Source organism: Homo sapiens, chromosome 2, assembly GCF_000001405.40.
Source record: "Homo sapiens chromosome 2, GRCh38.p14 Primary Assembly".
NCBI classification, from domain to species: Eukaryota; Metazoa; Chordata; class Mammalia; order Primates; family Hominidae; genus Homo; species Homo sapiens.
In genome coordinates, this window is record NC_000002.12 from 15271303 (window position 1) to 15290829 (window position 19527).

The window sequence follows — 19527 nt, forward strand, 5'->3', positions numbered from 1 at the left end:
GGGATACTGGCTTAATTATCAATAGAAATGAGTTTGAAGGTTAGAAAGTAGGCTAGATAAGAGGTTCTCAATAATTTTTCTGCTACAATCCAAAGGAGACAACATGTTTCCCATTAGAAGCAGTGGTTTACGATGGCAATGAATCACAAACGGTGGGAGTTGGAAAGGCAGCACGTGCAAGGTGGGGGAAAGGGGAGTGGGTAAATACCTATCTAATTCCAGGTTGAGTAACACTGGGCAAGGTACCAGAAGGACTTTTTAAACTGTATGATTACCTGGGAATTTTTAAAGAAGGATCCTGGCAAACTTCTTGACAGCATTTCATATGAGAGAGAAGTATTTGCCATGCATTTATCTATGGATGTAGCAGTACTAGCTATTGACAGCAAGTGGAAAGTATAAAACACAAAGGCTAAGATTATACATATGCTCCCCATTACTAACCACCTAATACCAAGCAAATTGTGTTCTGACCTGCCTTTCAGCCTCTTTTACAACCATTTTCCTGGATTTCTAACCCATTCACTTGTTCTCTGTCCCTTCTATAAAAATGCTTATAACAGCTGAATTGACAAGCAATAGAGGAGCAACTCTAATCTGATTCAACAACAACAACAACAAAAAAAAGCATTTAGATTTGGTACAAATACACTTTAAACATTTGCTTCCTTTTTCCTTCTGCATATTAATCATCTCAAATGGCACACAAATTCACTCTCTGACTGCAGGACATAATACTATTTGTAAATATTTTCCCCAGAGATTCTAGGAATTCTGCAAATGTAAATGGCAATGGAATGACTGTTACCATGAAAGTGAAGAGCCTTCTCTGGTATGTTTTACCAGTGGATTGGGCACTCAGTTCAGGCCTTGGGAATATTCCTTTCTGAATTCTAGTATCTGAACAATTGCTTATTGTTCTTGTTATGCACTCGAGAATTAGCTTACCAGTTCTTTCCAAAAATTTCTTTCTAAATTAAATGTGGGTACACATTTGAAAACTGCACACTGTGTATGAATAGTACACATTTATTTTACATTTTTAACATCATGTACAAGCTGTGGGAACATCTGGTGTTTTGCAAATTTGGGCAAATCCAGCTGCATTTCCTCTTCCAAATATGTTCTCTGACATTTGCAGGTTGTGTTTCATTTTGATTTTTATACTCTCTCTCTCTCTATCTATATAGGGCAGCATTGTGTGCTTTCAAACATGCATTTTTTCCAACTTTATACTTCTCCTTTCTGAACTAAAAATTAAAAGCTTGCTGATTAATATGAGAAAAAATGTTGTGGTTAGACTAAAGATGTAAATTTTAAATGTATCTGTCTCACCTCTCTATAATTTACTTGAATCAGTAGAAAATCGCCTCTTGAGAACAGTTTACAATGAAGAAATATATATGCTTGCATTATACCATCTGAGCTAAGAGAAAGCAATACAGTAATTAGCAGACTGAATCTTTACTGAGTCAGGTGCACCTCTAACCCAACAAAATACACATATGTGCACCAACAACTGTGCCACATATTTTCAGGGGTTGGCGGACATCTTGAAAGAAGTATAAGGTTAAGAAACTAAAGCGATGAGAATGTGAATAATTTAATGTGAATAATTTAAAATCACCTAACTTAAAGCATGGTAAATAACAGCTAAAACGCAAATGGACTTTACATCCTACTCTTATACTTAATCATAAATAAAAGATTGCTGTTGCCAAGTCTAAAACTCTCTGTCCCCTCTACACACACGCTCACGATTAGCAGACAGCCCCAGATGATCATGCTGGCTTCCCTTTCTTCCCTCACATAAAATATTTAAAACAACCTCCAGCCTGAGGGTGGAGTGGAAAACTGCCTGGGAGCAAAGTCACCCTCACCATCCTGGCTGACCTGCTGGCCTGTTAGCCCCGAAGGTTAGTTCACAAGTCTCAGATCTGAGCTGGTTCCTTGGATTTTAAACTCCCAACTTGGATCAGTTCCTTCCCATATACAACCAGGTTCCTGCCTGGACTTTCTCATTTAGATTCAGCCCTGCTCTGGACAAATCCCAGGACATGCTGCTCCTACTGGGCTAAAAATGCTCAGGGCTCTCTGGTTCCACTGCTCTCCCACAGTTTCTCAAATGGTTCCAGGTCCCCTGACTCTAGTTGCTTGTTCTATGACTTCTTAGAGATAGCACAGTTCAATGGTTAAGAGAAAAGGCCAGGGGATAAATCTCCATGAGTTCAAATTGAGTTCTCTATTACCAACTTAACTTTGCTAAGCCTCAGTTTGCTCATCTATAAAACTAGGGTAATAATATTATCTCCCTCACAGATTACTCAGCCACAACCTCTGTCTCAAGGAAGCAGAAGTCTAAGAGAGATACCTGAAGCTAAACCACACAGCTGATAAGTGATAGGTTCAGAGTTCAAAGCCAGGTTTATATGTCTCCAAACACATTCTTTTCAAATACATTATGCTCTTGTCTTTTAAAATCACCCTTATTGGCCGGGTGCAGTGGCTCACATCTGTAATCCCAGCACTTTGGGAGGCTGAGGTGGGTGGATCACGACGTCAGGAGATCGAGACCATCCTGGCTAACATGGTGAAACCTCATCTCTACTAAAAATACAAAAAAAAAAAAATTAGCCAGGCATGGTGGCGGGCTCCTGTAGTCCCAGCTACTCAGCCTCCTAGCAGGAGAATGGCATGAACCCAGGAGGCAGAGCTTGCAGTGAGCCAAGATCATGCCACTGCACTCCAGCCTGGGGGACAGAGCGAGACTCCGTCTCAAAAAAAAAAAATCATCCTTATTTTTCTCTTTAAAAACAAAAAACATGATTACTCCTTTTTATAGCAGTGGTTGTAAAATTTAAAACCAAGATATATTACTAGGGTTGCAATAATAAGAAAATAAAGAAGTACTTGGTTATCCACAACTACTAATCTAGTGATTTGGTTAAAACTAGCATTCTTCACAGAAGTTGGAACCTCTGCCTGTGCCAACCTCCAAATGAATGATTTGCAATTCTTGGCCTTTACAGTCTATTTCCAGGATAATACTAACTAAAATAACAATCTTTGCGATAGGGTACTGGGCAGACCTGGTGACTTGCACGGAAGGAGAAGGCAACAGCAAAGATGGCAAGAGAGAAGATTAAACAGGAGCTCCAAAGGCAACAGAGTTCAGCAGTTGAGTCCAAATGCTAAGATTTTCCAGGAGAGAGAATGCCCAGAGTCCAAGTAGTGAAAAATGTCCATTTGTTTAGCAGCGGTGTCTAGGTGAGGGGGCAGGAAAGGGGAGGAGGAGAACCCACATTATCTATTCTGAGTGAGGCTACACATTGCTGAGGGATTGAGTGCAGTCAAAGGAGGCCAAACTGATGGAGGAGACATCAGAAAATGCAATATGCACTCTCTTCAATAATTCTATCACCAAGATATATACTGCATGATATGAATAACATCTTTTTTATTTTTTTATGTTATTATTTTGAGACAGAGTCTCACTCTGTCACCCAGGCTGGAGTGCAGTGGCATGATCTCAGCTCACTCCAACCTCCGTTTCGTAGGTTCAAGCAATTCTCCTGCCTCAGCCTCCCGAGTAGCTGGGACTACAGGTGCATACCACCACACCCAGGTAATTTTTTTTTTTTTGGTTTTTTTTTTTCTTCTAGTAGAGATGGGATTTCACCATATTGGCCAGGCTGGTCTCAAACTCCTGATCTCAGGTAATCTGCCTGCCTTGGCCTCCCAAAGTGCTGGGATTACAGGCTTGAGCCGCTATGCCCGGCCAATAACTTTTTTAAAGACTCAGGCTAACCCAAGCTAAGTTGTTAGCCTGGTTTCCGAATGCAGGTAATCTGGGCTGGGCACTGGAGCTCCTTTACATTTGTCAACTGGAAAGAACAGAATGGCATATTTACTATAAAGTGACATGAGAACTGTAACATGTACTAAGTATACGTGTAAATGAGAATAGTCATCTCTATTTTAGCATATTTGTACATCTACAATAGAGAAAAAAAATTTCCTAATTAAAACACCTCATTCACAGCAAATGAACAAAAACTTTTTAAAAAGCCAACATGTAATTATTTTCAAGAAAGGAAACAAAAATAAAATCTACAGAATGTAGGAGAAATTTTCATTTCTTCTACTGTGCTCAAACCACTTTAAAATATCTTTTTGTTTACCTTGGTCACAGCTTTTGGAGAAAATGTAACTGCATCTACCACAGTGATGAGGTCACCTGGGTGGAGACGATCAAAGTACTTCATGCAGACATCATAGGCATGAAGCCACTCCGGTGAAGAGCCTGGGACTTGTTTAATGAGATGAGGGTCTCCAGTCCAGAACAACTTCTGTAACCAGATGGTGTACAGAGAGCTTGGGGAAAGCATCTGTCCATCCTTTTCAGGGATTTTGGGAACAAGTTTGGAAATAGACAAGATATTTTGACTTGAAAGAACTGGCTCCAATGCTTCAAGAGGACTCATGTTTTCATCTGTCAGCTTTTTGTAATTAAGACCTAGCAGAAAAAAAAAGAAAGTAGGTAAGTGGTTCATTCCAATGTAAACATAGAGTCACTTTCAAACACACACACATAGCCCTCTATATGTCTGAACGCAAAGATCTATCAACTTAGCTCTAAGTAGCTAGTTTATATTTTCTATTAGAAAGATCAGGAGATCTGAGTTCCAGTCACAGCCTGAAACTTATTCGGCTTTGTGATCCCAGATAGGCCATTCATCTTCTGTGTGCCTCCATCTCCTTGTTTGTACCCTAGAGATGACAATATCTCCATGCCTTTCGAATCCGCCGCAGCACCTATGTTTTCTTCTATCAGTGCTTCAACAAACTGCATTACATTTCTTTGTTATTTATCTGGCATTTCACTAGTTACTTGAAGGCAAGGATTGAATCTTATTCCCTTATCCTCTGTGTCTAGGCCAGTGTCTCATTTGATTATTCAGAAAACAACTGATAAACTGATGGGAACTCTCACAATTATTATGAATATCAAACAAACAGATTTGAATGTGCCTTGCAAATTATGAAGTATAAAAATTAAGAGGTCTTAAAGTGTTTAATTTCTTAGTTATGAGCATAAAGACCATTCTAAAGATTTCCATAATTTATCAAATATTCAAAGGCTCTTAAGTGTTCCATGCATATTTTAAACATATAGGCTCCAGTGGAATGAAATTCTGCTCAACTGCCTATTATAAAGTGTCTTGGCCTTGCCATTTATATACATAAAATATAATCAATGGGAGTAGTGAAAAAATCCTGGAGCAGAAGTCCAAAACTTTGGATTTTAGTACCAAGTCTACCATAAGTCACTGTGCGACTTTCAATAGGTTTCTTACTTTTTCTGGTATTTAATTCCCTCAACTATAAGTGAAAGAGTTGGAAAGATAATAACTAAAGTCGATTAGCTTCAAAATTCTGTGGTTTCAGAGCTCTGCAACCATAATGCATGAACAGGATTGTGTACAGAAAATTAATCCCCAGATTTAATTGAAAAGAATGAATTCAAGCAGGGAAACAACCATCCTACCTGATGCAACAACCTTAAACTTCTTCAGCAGTCGAATGTGGGTTTCTGGTTTAATGGCACAGTTCCCCAAATCTGCACAGCCACAGTTTTCCAGAAGAGTGAAATAATACTGCAGCCTTTCGTGATCAAAGCCACCAATAGTAGGGTAAATATACTTGACCATGTGCTGGTGAAAGGCTTCTGGATCAGTCTTCAAAGTCTCAAAGAGATGAAGGTCTTGGGCTCTATTTTCAATTTCTAGTGTGGACAAACTGAAATTAAGAGCCAAAGGAACTGTGTTAAGATTTTGTTCCTTTATTAAAGTGATTTTTTTTTTAACCAAGGAAGAAACACTACTTCTTATAGCTCCCTTCTTCCTGCCTACTCAAAGACAGTAAACCACCACCAGAAGCCAGTCAGCCTGAATAAAGGAAAACAAATGTGTTAGATGCCTACTAACATTTAACTGACTACACACTCGTCATGTTATCTCACGGGGGTCTACAGCAACCCTGTGAAGTAGCTTTAACTTCAAGTTCCTGCAGTTGGGAGAGCTGTCTGATGTCTCCCAGCTAGAAAATAAACCAACATCTGTCAGCGTCCACTCTTAATCATTTATTCATTCATAAAAAGGGTTTAAAAATCTATACTTCTTCACAGAAACATAAACAGCCTTATTATTTCAGGAATTTAGGAAATGATACAGAAAAAACCCTAAACTTTCAGGCTTAAGATTTACATGCAAGAGTCTTGAATTAATATTCAATAAACCCAAATTTTATGCTGTGTCCAGATAAAAGAAAAATAGAAAAAGAGGGATAATTAAACTTTCACTTGGGTTATCTGCAGTAATGCTACTTAAATAAAACACATATCTTAATATTTTCATCCTAACTTAGATGTCTTTGTAATCTAATTTTAAAAAGTCACTTAAACTCTTGGGAAAAGAAAAAGTAAGGTATTTTTGCTTGGTTGATTGGTTTGTGCTTTTAGAAGGGGAAAGGAGGGGGTTAATTTTGGTCTTGTGCTTCTCCCTGGACAGAATCTGGACAGAGCCTGTGGTCTAGTGTAATCTCAATGCCCCTTACGTGATGAGTTTCATACTCCCTAATTGTAAGAGTCCTTCAGGCAGCCCTGCATTCACAGAAGTACCCAGGTTCTAGGGTTCTCGGAAGCAGCAACAGAAGCATCTGGGGGCAGTAAGTGAGACCTTGGGCAGCAACAAAGTTAGGCTTCAAAAAGTTCTAAAGCAGCTCCTCTGAAACATGACAACTTGTTTACTGAAAGTGCCCAAAGACATGTTTTTGGTTTATGTAGATAAAGTTAGTATAAATCATGTTTTAAAACTTTCAGGGGAATGTGACAACACTTGGGTTAAAAAGGGTAATCTACAAAGTCAAAGCATCAAGTAATTTTTAAAAACTGGTCTTTTTACTTTTGCTTCAAGAAAAACCTTATTTTTCCATTAAGACACAGTGCAAACATTTACAAGAATATCTCTATCTATAAATATGTCCCCAGTCTATAAAAATTTCTCTCACTGCCTCCTCTATTGGCACATGCTGAATATCCTTCTATTCTGTTATTCGTAACGTATTTTAAGTACTTATTACCTTGTCTATCTTCCTTCCTAGACTGTGCTGCTTGATGGCACAGACCTTATTACATCATCTTAATCTCTAGTTTCTCAATACCAAGAACCAGAGTGTGGCACAAAGGAAACATTCAATATATGTATTATGAACGCCAAATAGATGAGTGGATGAGCAAAAAATTAGGTGTCCTCTATGTACAAGGCACTGTGCTCACCACTGGGGAGGATATAAAGACTTACAGCATAGAGCTCCCATCCAAATTTGAAAATCCAGTTGAGTTACAAATACTTACAGTTAAATAATGATGCAAAACAATAGTATCACCTGACAAAGGGCACAAAATTATAGTCCAATTAAGAGAAGGATCACTAAAAGCTATGCCTGCAGAAGATGTAGAAATCAATGATAATGGAAGGCTTAGTGAAAGAAGCACTTGAATTTGGCAGGAAGGAGTGAAGCAGAAATAATGTGAACAAAAGTATCAAGAAAGCAAAACGCCTGTACAAGGAACAGTGAATATAAATGGCTGGGTGGTCAGAAAATATACTTGATAATATCACTATTCAACGAATACCATCATCTCTGAAAGACAGTGTACACACAGTAGTATGGGACAGTGAATCACAGAATTTCTGATGTTCCTTCATAATTTGCAAAATGAAGTCTAAAAACAATGTAGTAAGGAAGTAAATAAGAAACTGTGTAGTCGCAATAAAAGGAATCTTATTGACAAAGATTTGCAGGCAGAACAACATGCCAAAAGGAGGAAAGAAAACAAATTTGTATTTATCATGCTGATTACTTTCTTGCTAAGTTAAAGTTGGGTAATTATCAACTTATAGATGATAAATTGCCATTCAGAGAGGTTATATGACTTGTTTAAGATAAAGAGTCCAGATCTGTCTGGACTCAAAGTACACAACTGCTCAGGACATCACAAAGCAACCATCAAGGTCAAGCACCCATATCAACAACCACTTCAAAACCAGGATTCTTTCTGCAACACAGATATGAGTTCTCTCTCCCAGCAGCAATAATCGAAAAGAGTTCTCCTGTCATACTTCATTCGTAACACCTTGATAAACAAAGTATTCAAGACAGACTCATCTACAAAATGGACAATGACTATATCATAACAGCTTTAGTTCATCTATGTTTGACTTGATTATGAATATAGTCTCTCTCAATCAACATTACTTTCCCTCTTGCCCACTCACTTATTCTTCTGTGCCTACAATTTAGTTTGCCTGCTGTGCAATTTTACCCAATTATCTTGTCAAGACAGATACTGGAATACCTTTACTGACTCATGATAAATACCCAAACCTCCCTTTTCAGTAAATTACAAGGTGCTAAGATCTTTTATAGATGCTAGTAATCAATAGCTCATTTTAATAGTTTCCATTCTGAAGAAAGAAGCTGTTATCTTCCCTTTGGAACCAGAAAAGGGAAATCTTTCTTTGAAATCTTTGTTTAGAAAAAAATTCCAAAGAACCCATATTCAAGAGAGTAGAAAGAAATACCATGAAACCACTGTGGACTTTTCACTAATCAAATTAATGATTACCCTTCAAACCTGTTTAAGTGATTTTTCCTGAACCAAGTTTTAGTTATAAAGCAGCTTATATACATAGTGCATATTTAACTTTCAGAGATTAACTAACAGAAGAAGCCAGCATTAGTTGCACTCAATGCACAGAAATAAATTATTCATACTAATCTCATGATTAAGGTGTTCTGTAATGGCTTCCAGATGTCAGTCACCCAAAAATGTGATTCAAGAACATCATGTATTGAAAGGACTTTTATTTGTGTAAGAAAAACAAATTTATTTAAATACATTTTTCTTTACTCAGCTGAGATGGAGTGATTATAAAATTTCATTAGCTCACTGAAAGGAGTGCTTAGAAGGAAAGAGGAAGGAGGAGGCAAGAAGGAAGAAGGTGAATGGGAGAAGGGAGAAGGCTGCCGGGAGAGGGGGAAGAGAGAATAAAGAGGATGGGGAAGGGCTGGAAGTGAAAATGTACACATAACCTGCCAGCACTCTTGTTGCTATTAGCTCATTAACACTCATAATAACCCTCTGCAAAAGGTCTAATTATTCCTATTATCTGAAGGAAGCTGAGGCTCAGACAAAAATCACACAACTAGTAAGAGATGGAGACTGATTCTGAGTTGAGTCTTTCAAGTTCGGCTTTCTGCTTCTACTCAATAAAGCAATGAAGCTGATATTTTCACGTTGAAATTTTATGTTGGGTACAGTTCAGCTGCAGTGGCTTGTAAGCATTTTCCCCAAAGGCTAACCCTAAGAGCATGAAGATCTATGAATCAACGTGAATGATCATCACTGCTGGTGAACAGTGGCCTCACCATTGACTACTGAGCAACAAGACAATCTACCCTCCAAATCACAACTGCTCCTGCCTGAGGAAGTCAATCCAACATCTTAGCACATAAATGCCTCAGGATGACCTTGATGTAGCAGACTTGATCTATAATGCAGCCTGACAGCTGAATACGTGATTTCTCAAGGAAAACGTGGTCAAGATAATCATGGCATTTTTTAGTTTTGCCAACATTCTGGCCAAGTGTCTGCAAACTGAAGAATGGAATTTAACTAACTTTTCAAGAACACCCAGGGAGTTGATGAGAGAATCAATAAAGAGTGTCTTAGAGTCTATTTCTCATCATGCTGATATTCAGTGAGTTCCTTTATGGAATGTTTTATGACAGGAACAGAGTGAGAATGTTGAAGGCCATATGAATAGGCTTTGTCTCTTCTATAAGGACAACCTGGTATCCCTAAAGCCTTTTAATTTCTCATAGAATGTCAATTCTGACTTGTTTATATACTTCATATTACTACCTTGCCAACAAAAACAGTTTTAAGAAACACTATAGCATAGAAATAGTAATAGACACCACTTACAGAGAACTTACTAGTGCTAAGCACTATGTCATCTGATTTAATTCTCACAAAGCGTATATCTTATCATTGATACCCATACTGACTTGAAAAATAATTGTTGAAAAATCAGATGTGCAATGTTAGGTTGCCAGGGCCATGTGATGGGTCTGGTAAATCTAGCCTGTTCCCAGAATTAATAATAATAGCTACTATTTTTTTTAACACCTAATACATATCAGGTATTCTGAATAAATCTCTTCAATCTCACAGCAGTTCTGCAAAATGGGCTGAAAATAGTCATTTTGCAGAGGAGAAAACTTAGGCTTAAAGAGATAAAACAACTTGTCTATCAATAATATTCTACAAGAAGGTCACAGAGCCAGAGCCTGCAGCAGGTTTGCATAATTTAAAGCTTGCGCACTTTCCACAGGCTATAAACATACCAAAATGCATTTTCCTGTTTATGTTTTGTGCCACTATCAGGCGTTTCTGACTATTTGGAGAAAAACAGTGTTAAGGATCACAATATGAAAATGAAGGTTACAAGTTACAGATATATGGAAGGAATCACTTCCACTTTCATAATGGCAGTAATCAGTATTTCTGGTTTTTAGGATTTCTAGATTTCTTCTTAGGCACAATGCAAATCACAGTCCTAATCAAATAATCTGTTCCCCTAGACCAAAAGAAAGAGCAAAACCAAATTTAGGGCTCAATTTTAACAACTGTGTAAGACCTATAACCTGAATATGGACATTCAACATTCCTACTCTAACAAATATTTCCCCTGGTCTTGTATTTTTGTTTTAGTTTTCAATGTCATGACATACTTTTGATCATCTAAGTTACCTTAAATCCTGGGGGATTAATAACTAATAGGGGTTAGATGCTCCCTCTCTCTCTATTAACCACTCTCACACTAACTCTTCAACTGAGCCAGAGTTCTTCAAGGAAAGAAGAGACATAAGGGCCAGAATTTAGAATTCTTTACAGTGTAGCAACCCGGACACAAACCTATGTGAACAATAGTAACCTTCAGGCAGAAATTCTATTTTCTGTTTCAATTCAGGAAAAGGTAAGGCAGATGCAATATAGTTTACTCATCTCTCCTCAGATAGACCTTGTTCTTACCCATTCTTGCATCTGGGACCAAAATAATCCTACTAAAGAATATGAAATCAGCTCTGGAAAACAGCACAGCACATTCAGAGTCCCTATGACCTGGGACCCTCCCCATGTGTCTAAAGGAAACAACAGTAAACTCACCAACATTGAAGAAGGTGCTATTATGATCTCTAGCAACCAAGATAAATCACTTGTATAACCATTTGAGTGACCAAAAAGTAGATATTAGAGTGAAACCAAGGCATAGGATGTTTGGCCTTGAAATCTGCTGTCTAAATAAGAAGGGAAAAGATGGAAGGTATTACCGAGTCTGGCAGTATAAAGACATGTCCTGTCCTCCATTTAGTTCTCCTTTGCTTACTCTGTCCCAGCCACAATGGTCTTCCTTTAGTTACTCAAAAACACCAAGAACTGTCCTGCCCTTCTTTTCTGATGGCCTGGAATGCCCTTTCTTCCATTCCTCTTCAATAGTCAGCTCTTTCCTCCTCACATCCAAGAGAGGCCTTCCCCATCTACTTCGTGTGCATTTCCTTTATGGTACTTACTACAACATACAACTTGCTTTTCGGCAGCTTTTGTGGGCGTCAGGGTGACGGGGGAGGGTTCCCTATTAGAATATAAGCTCCATTAGGGCAAGGATGTGTCTGTCTTGTTCAGCACTTAACACTATGCTGGGAATACAAAGATACTAAGTAATAATAATAATATTTGATGAATAAATGTGGTACTATTATATCAGCCAGAAGCATCCTCTGCATTTCAAAATGACCCTGTGTCCAAAACTGAAAAGTACTAATCAAATCAGCAGAATTAACAAGAATGACACAAATAATCATAATAGCCTTGATATAGTTTGATTGCATGCCCACCCAAATCTCATCTTGAATTATAGTTCCCATAATCCCCACGTGTTGTGGGAGGAACCCGGTGGGAGGTAACTGAATCATGGGGGTGGTTACCCCCATGCTGTGCTCACGACAGTGAGTGAGTTCTCATGAGATCTGATGGTTGTATAAGGGGCTTTTCTCCATTTGCTCTGCACTTCTCCTTCCTGCCTCCCTGTGAAGAAGGTGCATTTCTTCCCCTTCGTCTTTCGCCATGATTGTAAGTTTCCTGAGGCCTTCCCAGCCACGTGGAACTGAGTCAATTAAACCTCTTTTCTTTATAAATTACCCAAGCTCAGGTATTTCTTCATAGCAGCGTGAGAATGGACTAATACAAATTTAAAAGAGCCACTCAGTTATACATTTTTCACAGATTTTCTCTAATCTTCACAACCCTCTAAGGTGAGGATAATGATCCCTGTAACCCAGAAAACAGCGACTCGAAAGGATTAAGAAACATGCTCCAGGCTACATGGTTGGTGGCTGTGGGCAGATTTGGATCTTGAAAGTTCATCTGACTACAAAACCCATGCTGTCATCAATAGGCCACAGGTAATCTGGTAGTTACTATTGTCTATAAAAATCCACCAACATGTCTAGAATAGCCAGAAATGAAGATGGCTACTAAGTTTGTAATGAGTGACAAATCAGCCTTGAGTCTGGGGGGTTCAACATGCCCCAGTGGAACCAAGAGGCTGAGAGAGCCAGTGTCTGCTAGTTGGAAGTGATTCTAGGCATTCATGGCCACCCAAAGCCATCACTGCTATTTAAAACTAGCAAGACATTAAAACAACAACAACAAGAAAAAGCGGGAAATGGAAAAAAAAAAAAAAAGAGTCCAGCAACTCAAAAACATATGTGTTCATGAGAATTATCTCTGACAAGAGTGAAATTCCAGGAAAAACTTCCATTAATGAAGCTGTGATCATATGTCAGATACTACAGGTTAGATATCTTACCACTAAATAATTTAATTTGTATTACTCCTTGCTTAAAGAGGAGGAAAATGAGCTTCAGAGAAGGGAATTATCTTGCCCATGGACACACACCTAGAAGTGACACCAATAGGATTTGTTTGATCTAGCTATTTTGATTTTAAGGCTTATGATTCATCTGCTATATAATGGTATCTCACCCAACCCTCTCTGTGTACACTTATTCGCAAATGTGCTGATGCAGGTGATACCTCCAAAATCAACCAGGATGAAGGGGAATGTACAATTATGAGAATAATAACTTCACAGGGGAAAAAATTACTTTTTAAAGGAATAGTAAAACAAAACCCTAAAACAAACAACATTATTTCTCTTGCAACTTCCCAGTGGCACTCACTCAATAAATAAATGTTGGGCAATTTCTATTGTATTAACAAGGCTGATTTCTAATACTATGTTACCAAGTTAGATTAAATAGTAAAGCAAACAGCTGCCTTTTAAGTAAAGAACAGGCAGCACCTAACACCACTTACTAAATCAATATTAAATGCTTTGCCACTCACAAGTGATGGTGCCAGGAGGTAATGATTTCCTGCTTTTGTAATTGCTGTGCATCTGCATAATCACAGTGCTACCAGGTATAATGATATGCTAGGAACAGCCTTGCACATCACTCGATTGCCTGATAATTTATAATATATTCAGAGACCAAGGAAGCATCCTGTTTGTACAGATACAACATCCTTTTACGTAACATTCAATGAAAGAAAAAAGATATTTAATAAAATGCCAGGATATTTTTAAATGCCAGTGTGTGTATCATAAGAAATATTTATTTGAACATATTACTGTGCTTCAAAAATGACGTCCATGCAATATTTATCACAGATCACACTATCTTCCATGTAGCAATTTAATAAATACTTAAAAAGGAAATGTTAAAATTTCTAAGTGATTAATAAAAATTAAAGGTGCTAAAAATAGCATTTCTTGACCATTCAGCAGGATTTGACCCCACTCAATACTCACTCCCTTTCTTTAAACTCTTTCTTCCCATGGCTTCCCTAAAATAAGATTCCTGTTTCCCCTCTTACCTACCTCTCCTGCTGCTCTTTCTGACCCTTTTGTTAGCAGCTCTTCCTCTACCATTTTAAATGTGGAAGACTTCAAGCACTGCCTCAAGCTTTCTCCTTTCCTCATTCTCTGTTCTTTCCCCAAGCATATCCACAACATCACTATTTCTCATCTATGTGCGTATGACTCCCAAGTTAGTATTTCCAGCTCCATTTGAACCCCAGATCTGTAAGATCCAACTGCAGACTTGGCCTTTTCTCTCGGCTGTTTCAGTATGGATAACTTCCTGATTCCCTTGTCTTCCTATTTTTTCTTTTTTTGAGACAGAGTCTCGCTCTGTTGCCTAGGCTGGAGTGCAATGGCGCGATCTCTGCTCACTGCAACCTCCACCTCCTGGGTTCAAGCTATTCTCTTGCCTCAACCTCCTGAGTAGCTGGGATTACAGCGGTGCCTGCCACCATACTCAGCTAATTTTTGTATTTTTAGTAGAGACAGGGTTTCTCCATGTTGGCCAGGCTGGTCTCAAACTCCTGACCTTAAGTGATCTACCTATCACAGCGCGGCCTCCCAAAGTGTTGGGATTACAGGCGTGAGCCATGGCGCCTGGCCTCTCTTGCCTTTTCCTCACACTTCCCCCAAAATACCTTACTTCATTGGGTGCTTCCTGTCTCACGGAGTGATGCCACCATCTGGCAAGTGAACAAGGAAGAACCTAGGGATGCTTCGCGACACCTCCCCTTTTACTCACCCTCATATCTAGTTTATCCTTATTAACCAATATATTAAGTACTATCTATTTCACCTTTTAAATATCTCTAAAACCCATTCTGGCCTGCCTTTCTGTACTTCAAATCCCTTCTCCAAGCAATGGTCACTTGTCATGCCGTCTGTTACCATAAAAGCTCCCTAACTGGTCTACATATGTCCACCCTAACTTTCCTAACATCTTTCAACACAGTAGCCAAAGTGATCTTATCAAAATGCAAAGCTGGTCATATTATGTCCTTGTTCACCAGAATCCTTAACTAACCTTCTATTATCCTAGCCTTCTATTTATTATTCTTAGGAAGAAGTCAAAAGCCCTTGCTAGGGCCTCCACAATCTTGCTGTACAGCCTGGCTCCTATGCCTTGCCCCAGTCTCATCTCACGCCATGTTCCACCCAAATCCCTGGAACTCACCAACACTGTCCATTTGTTCCTAATCAAAGGGCCTTTGAACTTACTGTATTGTCTACCTAGAAAATGCTTCCCTTCTACTTCTGTCGTTAATTCCAACCCAATATTTAAGTCCTGCTTAAGTGTTACTTCCTGGGAAAAGCCTTTGCTAACTATGCCAAACCCTCCAATTGAGCTCAATTACACAGTACTTATCAGTTTTAATTTCACATTTGCCTATGTCATTATTCAATTATCATCTGTCTCCTACTGTAAGCTATAAGTTCCAAGACAGCTAGGATGCCTGTTTTTGCTCATCATTGTAACCCTAGTGGCTAATACTTAGTCTAGTACACAAAAAATTTTCAGTAAAAACATTTGAATGAATACATCAATGAATGGTAAAGGTGTATCAAAGATGTATAAGGAAAGAACTTACCAAGACACTAGTCCACTGTAGATTAAAGGAAAACTAAAATTGTACTTTACAACTTCTTCAAGAGTCTTCAAAAATAGACTCTAAAGAAAGACATGGAAACAAACGTACATATGAACTGTGTGCTTACCCACTGTCCGTGAAGAGGAACTCCAAATGGGTCATAAAAACTTCCCAGCGGGAGACACTGTAACGTTGTGCCAGAGAAATAGCAATGCTGTAGACGCTTTCCTCTAGAGTTCTGCAGAAATGTCCATCAAGCCCAGGAAGGGAGAGAGGAGAAACACATGACTTCAATCAGCAACGAAAATGCTCATTAGGACTGCTCTCCAGTGAGAGAGGTGCAAGCAGTGTGGTCCTTAATAAGACAGTTCACAGTGATCCAGGAAAAGTACTTCCAAGGAATTGTAATGCTCTTTTTCACTGTGGTGTATTACAATTTACTAAGGACTTGTCTAGACCAGTAGTTCTCAACTGTGGATGATTTTGTTCCCCAGGGGACATTTGACAATGTCTGAAAACATTGTGAGCATAAAAAGTGGGGCAAGGGGCAGATGTACTACACTACTAGCATCTCATGGGTAGAGGCCAGGGATGCTGCTGAGCATCCTGCATAGACAGTCCCACACAGGCATCCCGGGCAGCCCTGCGTGGGCATCTCCCAGTAGGCATCCCGAGCACCCATGTGGGCATCCCCCTGTAGGCACCCCGAGCACCATGTGTAGGCAGTCCCGTGGAGGCATCCCGAACACCCGCAGACATCCCGCATAGGCATCCCAGGAATCCCCAGGTAGGCATCCCCGCATAAACATCCTGAGCACCCCATGTAGGCATCCCCGCATAAACATCCTGAGCACCCCGTGTAGGCATCCCCGCATAAACATCCTGAGCACCCCGTGTAGGCATCCCCGCATAAACATCCTGAGCACCCCGTGTAGGCATCCCCGCATAAACATCCTGAGCACCCCGTGTAGGCATCCCTGCATGGGCATTCTGAGCACCCCATGGAGGTAGCCCGAGCACCGTGCGTAGGCAGCCCCGCATGGGCATCCCGAGCACCCAGCGTGGGCATCCCGAGCATCTGCATAGGCAGCCCCCACAGCCAAGAACTGTCCAGTCAGAACGTCAACAGTGCTGCGGTTGAAAAGATATGAACTAGACTCCAGAGCCTACAATCAAAAGATAGTGCATCCCTGGTCTAGGGGTAGAGATTTGAGAAAGCACAATTAGTCACTTAACAAACTTCTATGTTTTCTACCCTGTGCCAGGTATTGTGCTAGCTCCTTAGGAACTAAAAACAAACAAGCATTTTTCTTGAGGAATTCACAGCCTAGTGGAAGACAGGAAATGTGAACCAGCAATTAAATATAGCGGTGGTAGAGCTAAAAGAGAAGACCATGAAGCTCCACGAGAATGGAAAGTGACCATTGTGAACTGCAAGTAGGAGGATAAACACACACCCAGCAGAGGGTGGGAGGGAGAAGAGCCTTCTGAGAGAATGAGGGCTTCTCAGACATAAGAGAGAAAGCGAAGGTCAAAGTGAGGAACGTACTGGGTCCTCAGGCCTGCTAGGGGACCTGCGTCTCATTCTCCAGGCAATGAAGAGTCCATGAAAAGTTTAAAACAGGGAATGACATCGCCAGATTTGAGAATCTCTAGGCATATAAAGAGTTCCAAGAAAGCAGTCCCGAACACCCACATTATAAGGCCATTTTAGAAAGACTACTGCAGGACTCCTATTTTCCAGAAGAGAAACGTAGGATGGAATTTTTAGTTGGAAGAATGGTGTGGGTGAAAGCACAGAGACAGAAAAGAAATCTCTTACTATTAAGTCACTCTGCTAAGACTGTATTTCCCCAAGCTAAGGAAACCATGCCATTTATATGCTTGCATAGCCAGGGGCTGGCAAACGTTTTCTGGGAAAGGTAATATAGTAAATATTTCAGGCTTTACTGCCAGTCTCTCTGGCATAGTCTTCTTTTTATGGCTTTTGTTTTTGTTTTTGTGTTACTATAAAACCTTAAAACAAATGCTAAAACCATTCTTTGTTCATGGGCTATAAAAGAGACCAAGGCTGGATTGACTTTGTCAACCCATGGATTAGGTCATTGTCAATTAGCAATTCTTATTTTTTATTTATTTTTTATTTTTTGCGACAGGGTCTTTCTCTGCCTTCCAGGCTGGAGTGCAGTACTACAATCAAGGCTCATTGTAGCCTTGACCTCCCAGGCTCAAGCCATCCACCCACCCACCTACCCACCTCAGCCTCCAGAGTAGCTGGGACTTCAGGAAAACACTGCCACACCTAGTTTTTTGTTTGTTTTTGTTTTTGTTTTTTTGGTAGAGACAAGGTCTTGCTATGTTGCCAGGGCTGGTAGTGAACTCCTGGCCTCAAGCATTCCTCTCACCTTGGCCTCCCAAAGTGCTGGGATTACAGGTGTGAGCCACCATATCTGGCCTAGAAATTGTCTCTTGAAGTATTTATTTGAGTACCTACCTCCACATCATGGAATGAGAATTCCTTGAGAACAGGGGACCATTACTAATTCATCCTTTCTATTATGGGGTTATGGCACATTGCCTGGCACAAGACATTTTCAATAAGGACTGATATCTTTATCTCTTGATAAAGGTGGGAAGGACCCAAACTATGTTATACCCTCTTCACAGTTACCCTGCCTGACCCCTGAGAATGTATTCCCTGAGACATACAGATAGTAAAGGACAGGTACAATGCACTTACAGAAAACTAATGCCATGAAAATGGACATGCAGCTGGGCGCGGTGGCTCATGCCTGTAATCCTAGCACTTTGAGAGGCCAAGGCAGGCGGATCACGAGGTCAGGAGATTGAGACCATCCTAGCTAATACGGTGAAACCCTGTCTCTACTGAAAATACAAAAAATTAGCTGGGTATGGTGGCATGCACCTGTAGTCCCAGCTACTCGAGAGGTTGAGGCAGGATAATCACTTCAACCTGGGAGGTGGAGGTTGTGGTGAGCTGAGATCGTGCCACAGCCCTCCAGCCTGGCGCCAGAGCGAGACTCCATCAAAAAGAAAAGAAAAGAAAAAAGAAGAGAGGAGAAGAGAGGAGAGGAGAAGAGGGGAGAGGGGACAGAGGAGAGGGGATAGGGGAGAGAGTAGAGGGGAGAGGGGAGAGAGGAGAGGGGAGAGGGGAGAGAGGAGAGAGAAGAGAAGAGAAAAGGGACATGCAGTGAGAAAGACAAGGAAGAATGGTCACTCTATGTACAAGTGAAGGTGATGCTGCAAACGGAAGGACACAAATCCTTCAAGAATTCTTGTGTGCAAGACATTGACAACCCAGCTCCACAGTAGAAGAGGAAAGCAGCAAGCTGGTGGAAACTCTGAGGCATCTTAAAGAAGCCATTCAAACACTGCTGTATATTTTTCTAAGTAACAGATTGTACAGAAGATTCTATTATATATTTATCAAAAGCATATATTTGTCCTCTAGAACATACTTCAAATAGCATATGCTAGCTGTATGCTTAACAAAGAAAATAAAGGCCAAAAACTCTAGCAAAATGTAACTGATGATATAAGGCACGCCCTGCCTTATGAGTTTTTATTCTGCATGATAATCACCTTCTAAGAAACCGTGAACATGGCACCAAGGATTACCAAACGTCCATAGCAAAAGCATACTGGACTTAAGAAACCCAAGCTCAACTCCTGGCTGTGTGACTTTGAGCAACTCTTTAAAGCTCTCTAGTTCTGATTCCTTTTCTTAAAAGTCAGAAGGTTGGCTTAGGTTACTTTCAAATTGGACACTAAATGACGTTATGAAATTATGAACCTCCAGAAGGACAGAGGAGAAGAGAAAAACAATTCCATATTTCTCTTCTTAATTGAGACCAGCTATAGGT

At 40.0% G+C, this 19527-nt stretch overlaps 1 protein-coding gene across 11 annotated transcripts in view; it reads right to left on the reverse strand.

The window, feature by feature from the left end:
- The window catches only part of NBAS (NBAS subunit of NRZ tethering complex), a 782426-nt gene that overhangs the window by 492394 nt on the left and 270505 nt on the right, over positions 1-19527 (reverse strand). For all 11 annotated transcript variants that reach the window (XR_007076390.1, NR_052013.3, XM_017004317.2 and 8 more), the window contains 3 exons: positions 15771-15881; positions 5549-5799; positions 4182-4516 (listed from right to left, as the gene is read on the reverse strand). Coding sequence is in view for 9 of the 11 variants with exons in the window: in XM_017004317.2 (XP_016859806.1) it covers positions 4182-4516; positions 5549-5799; positions 15771-15881 (697 nt within the window). In the remaining 2 variants the exon portion in view is untranslated. The remainder of the gene's footprint in view (positions 1-4181; positions 4517-5548; positions 5800-15770; positions 15882-19527) is intronic.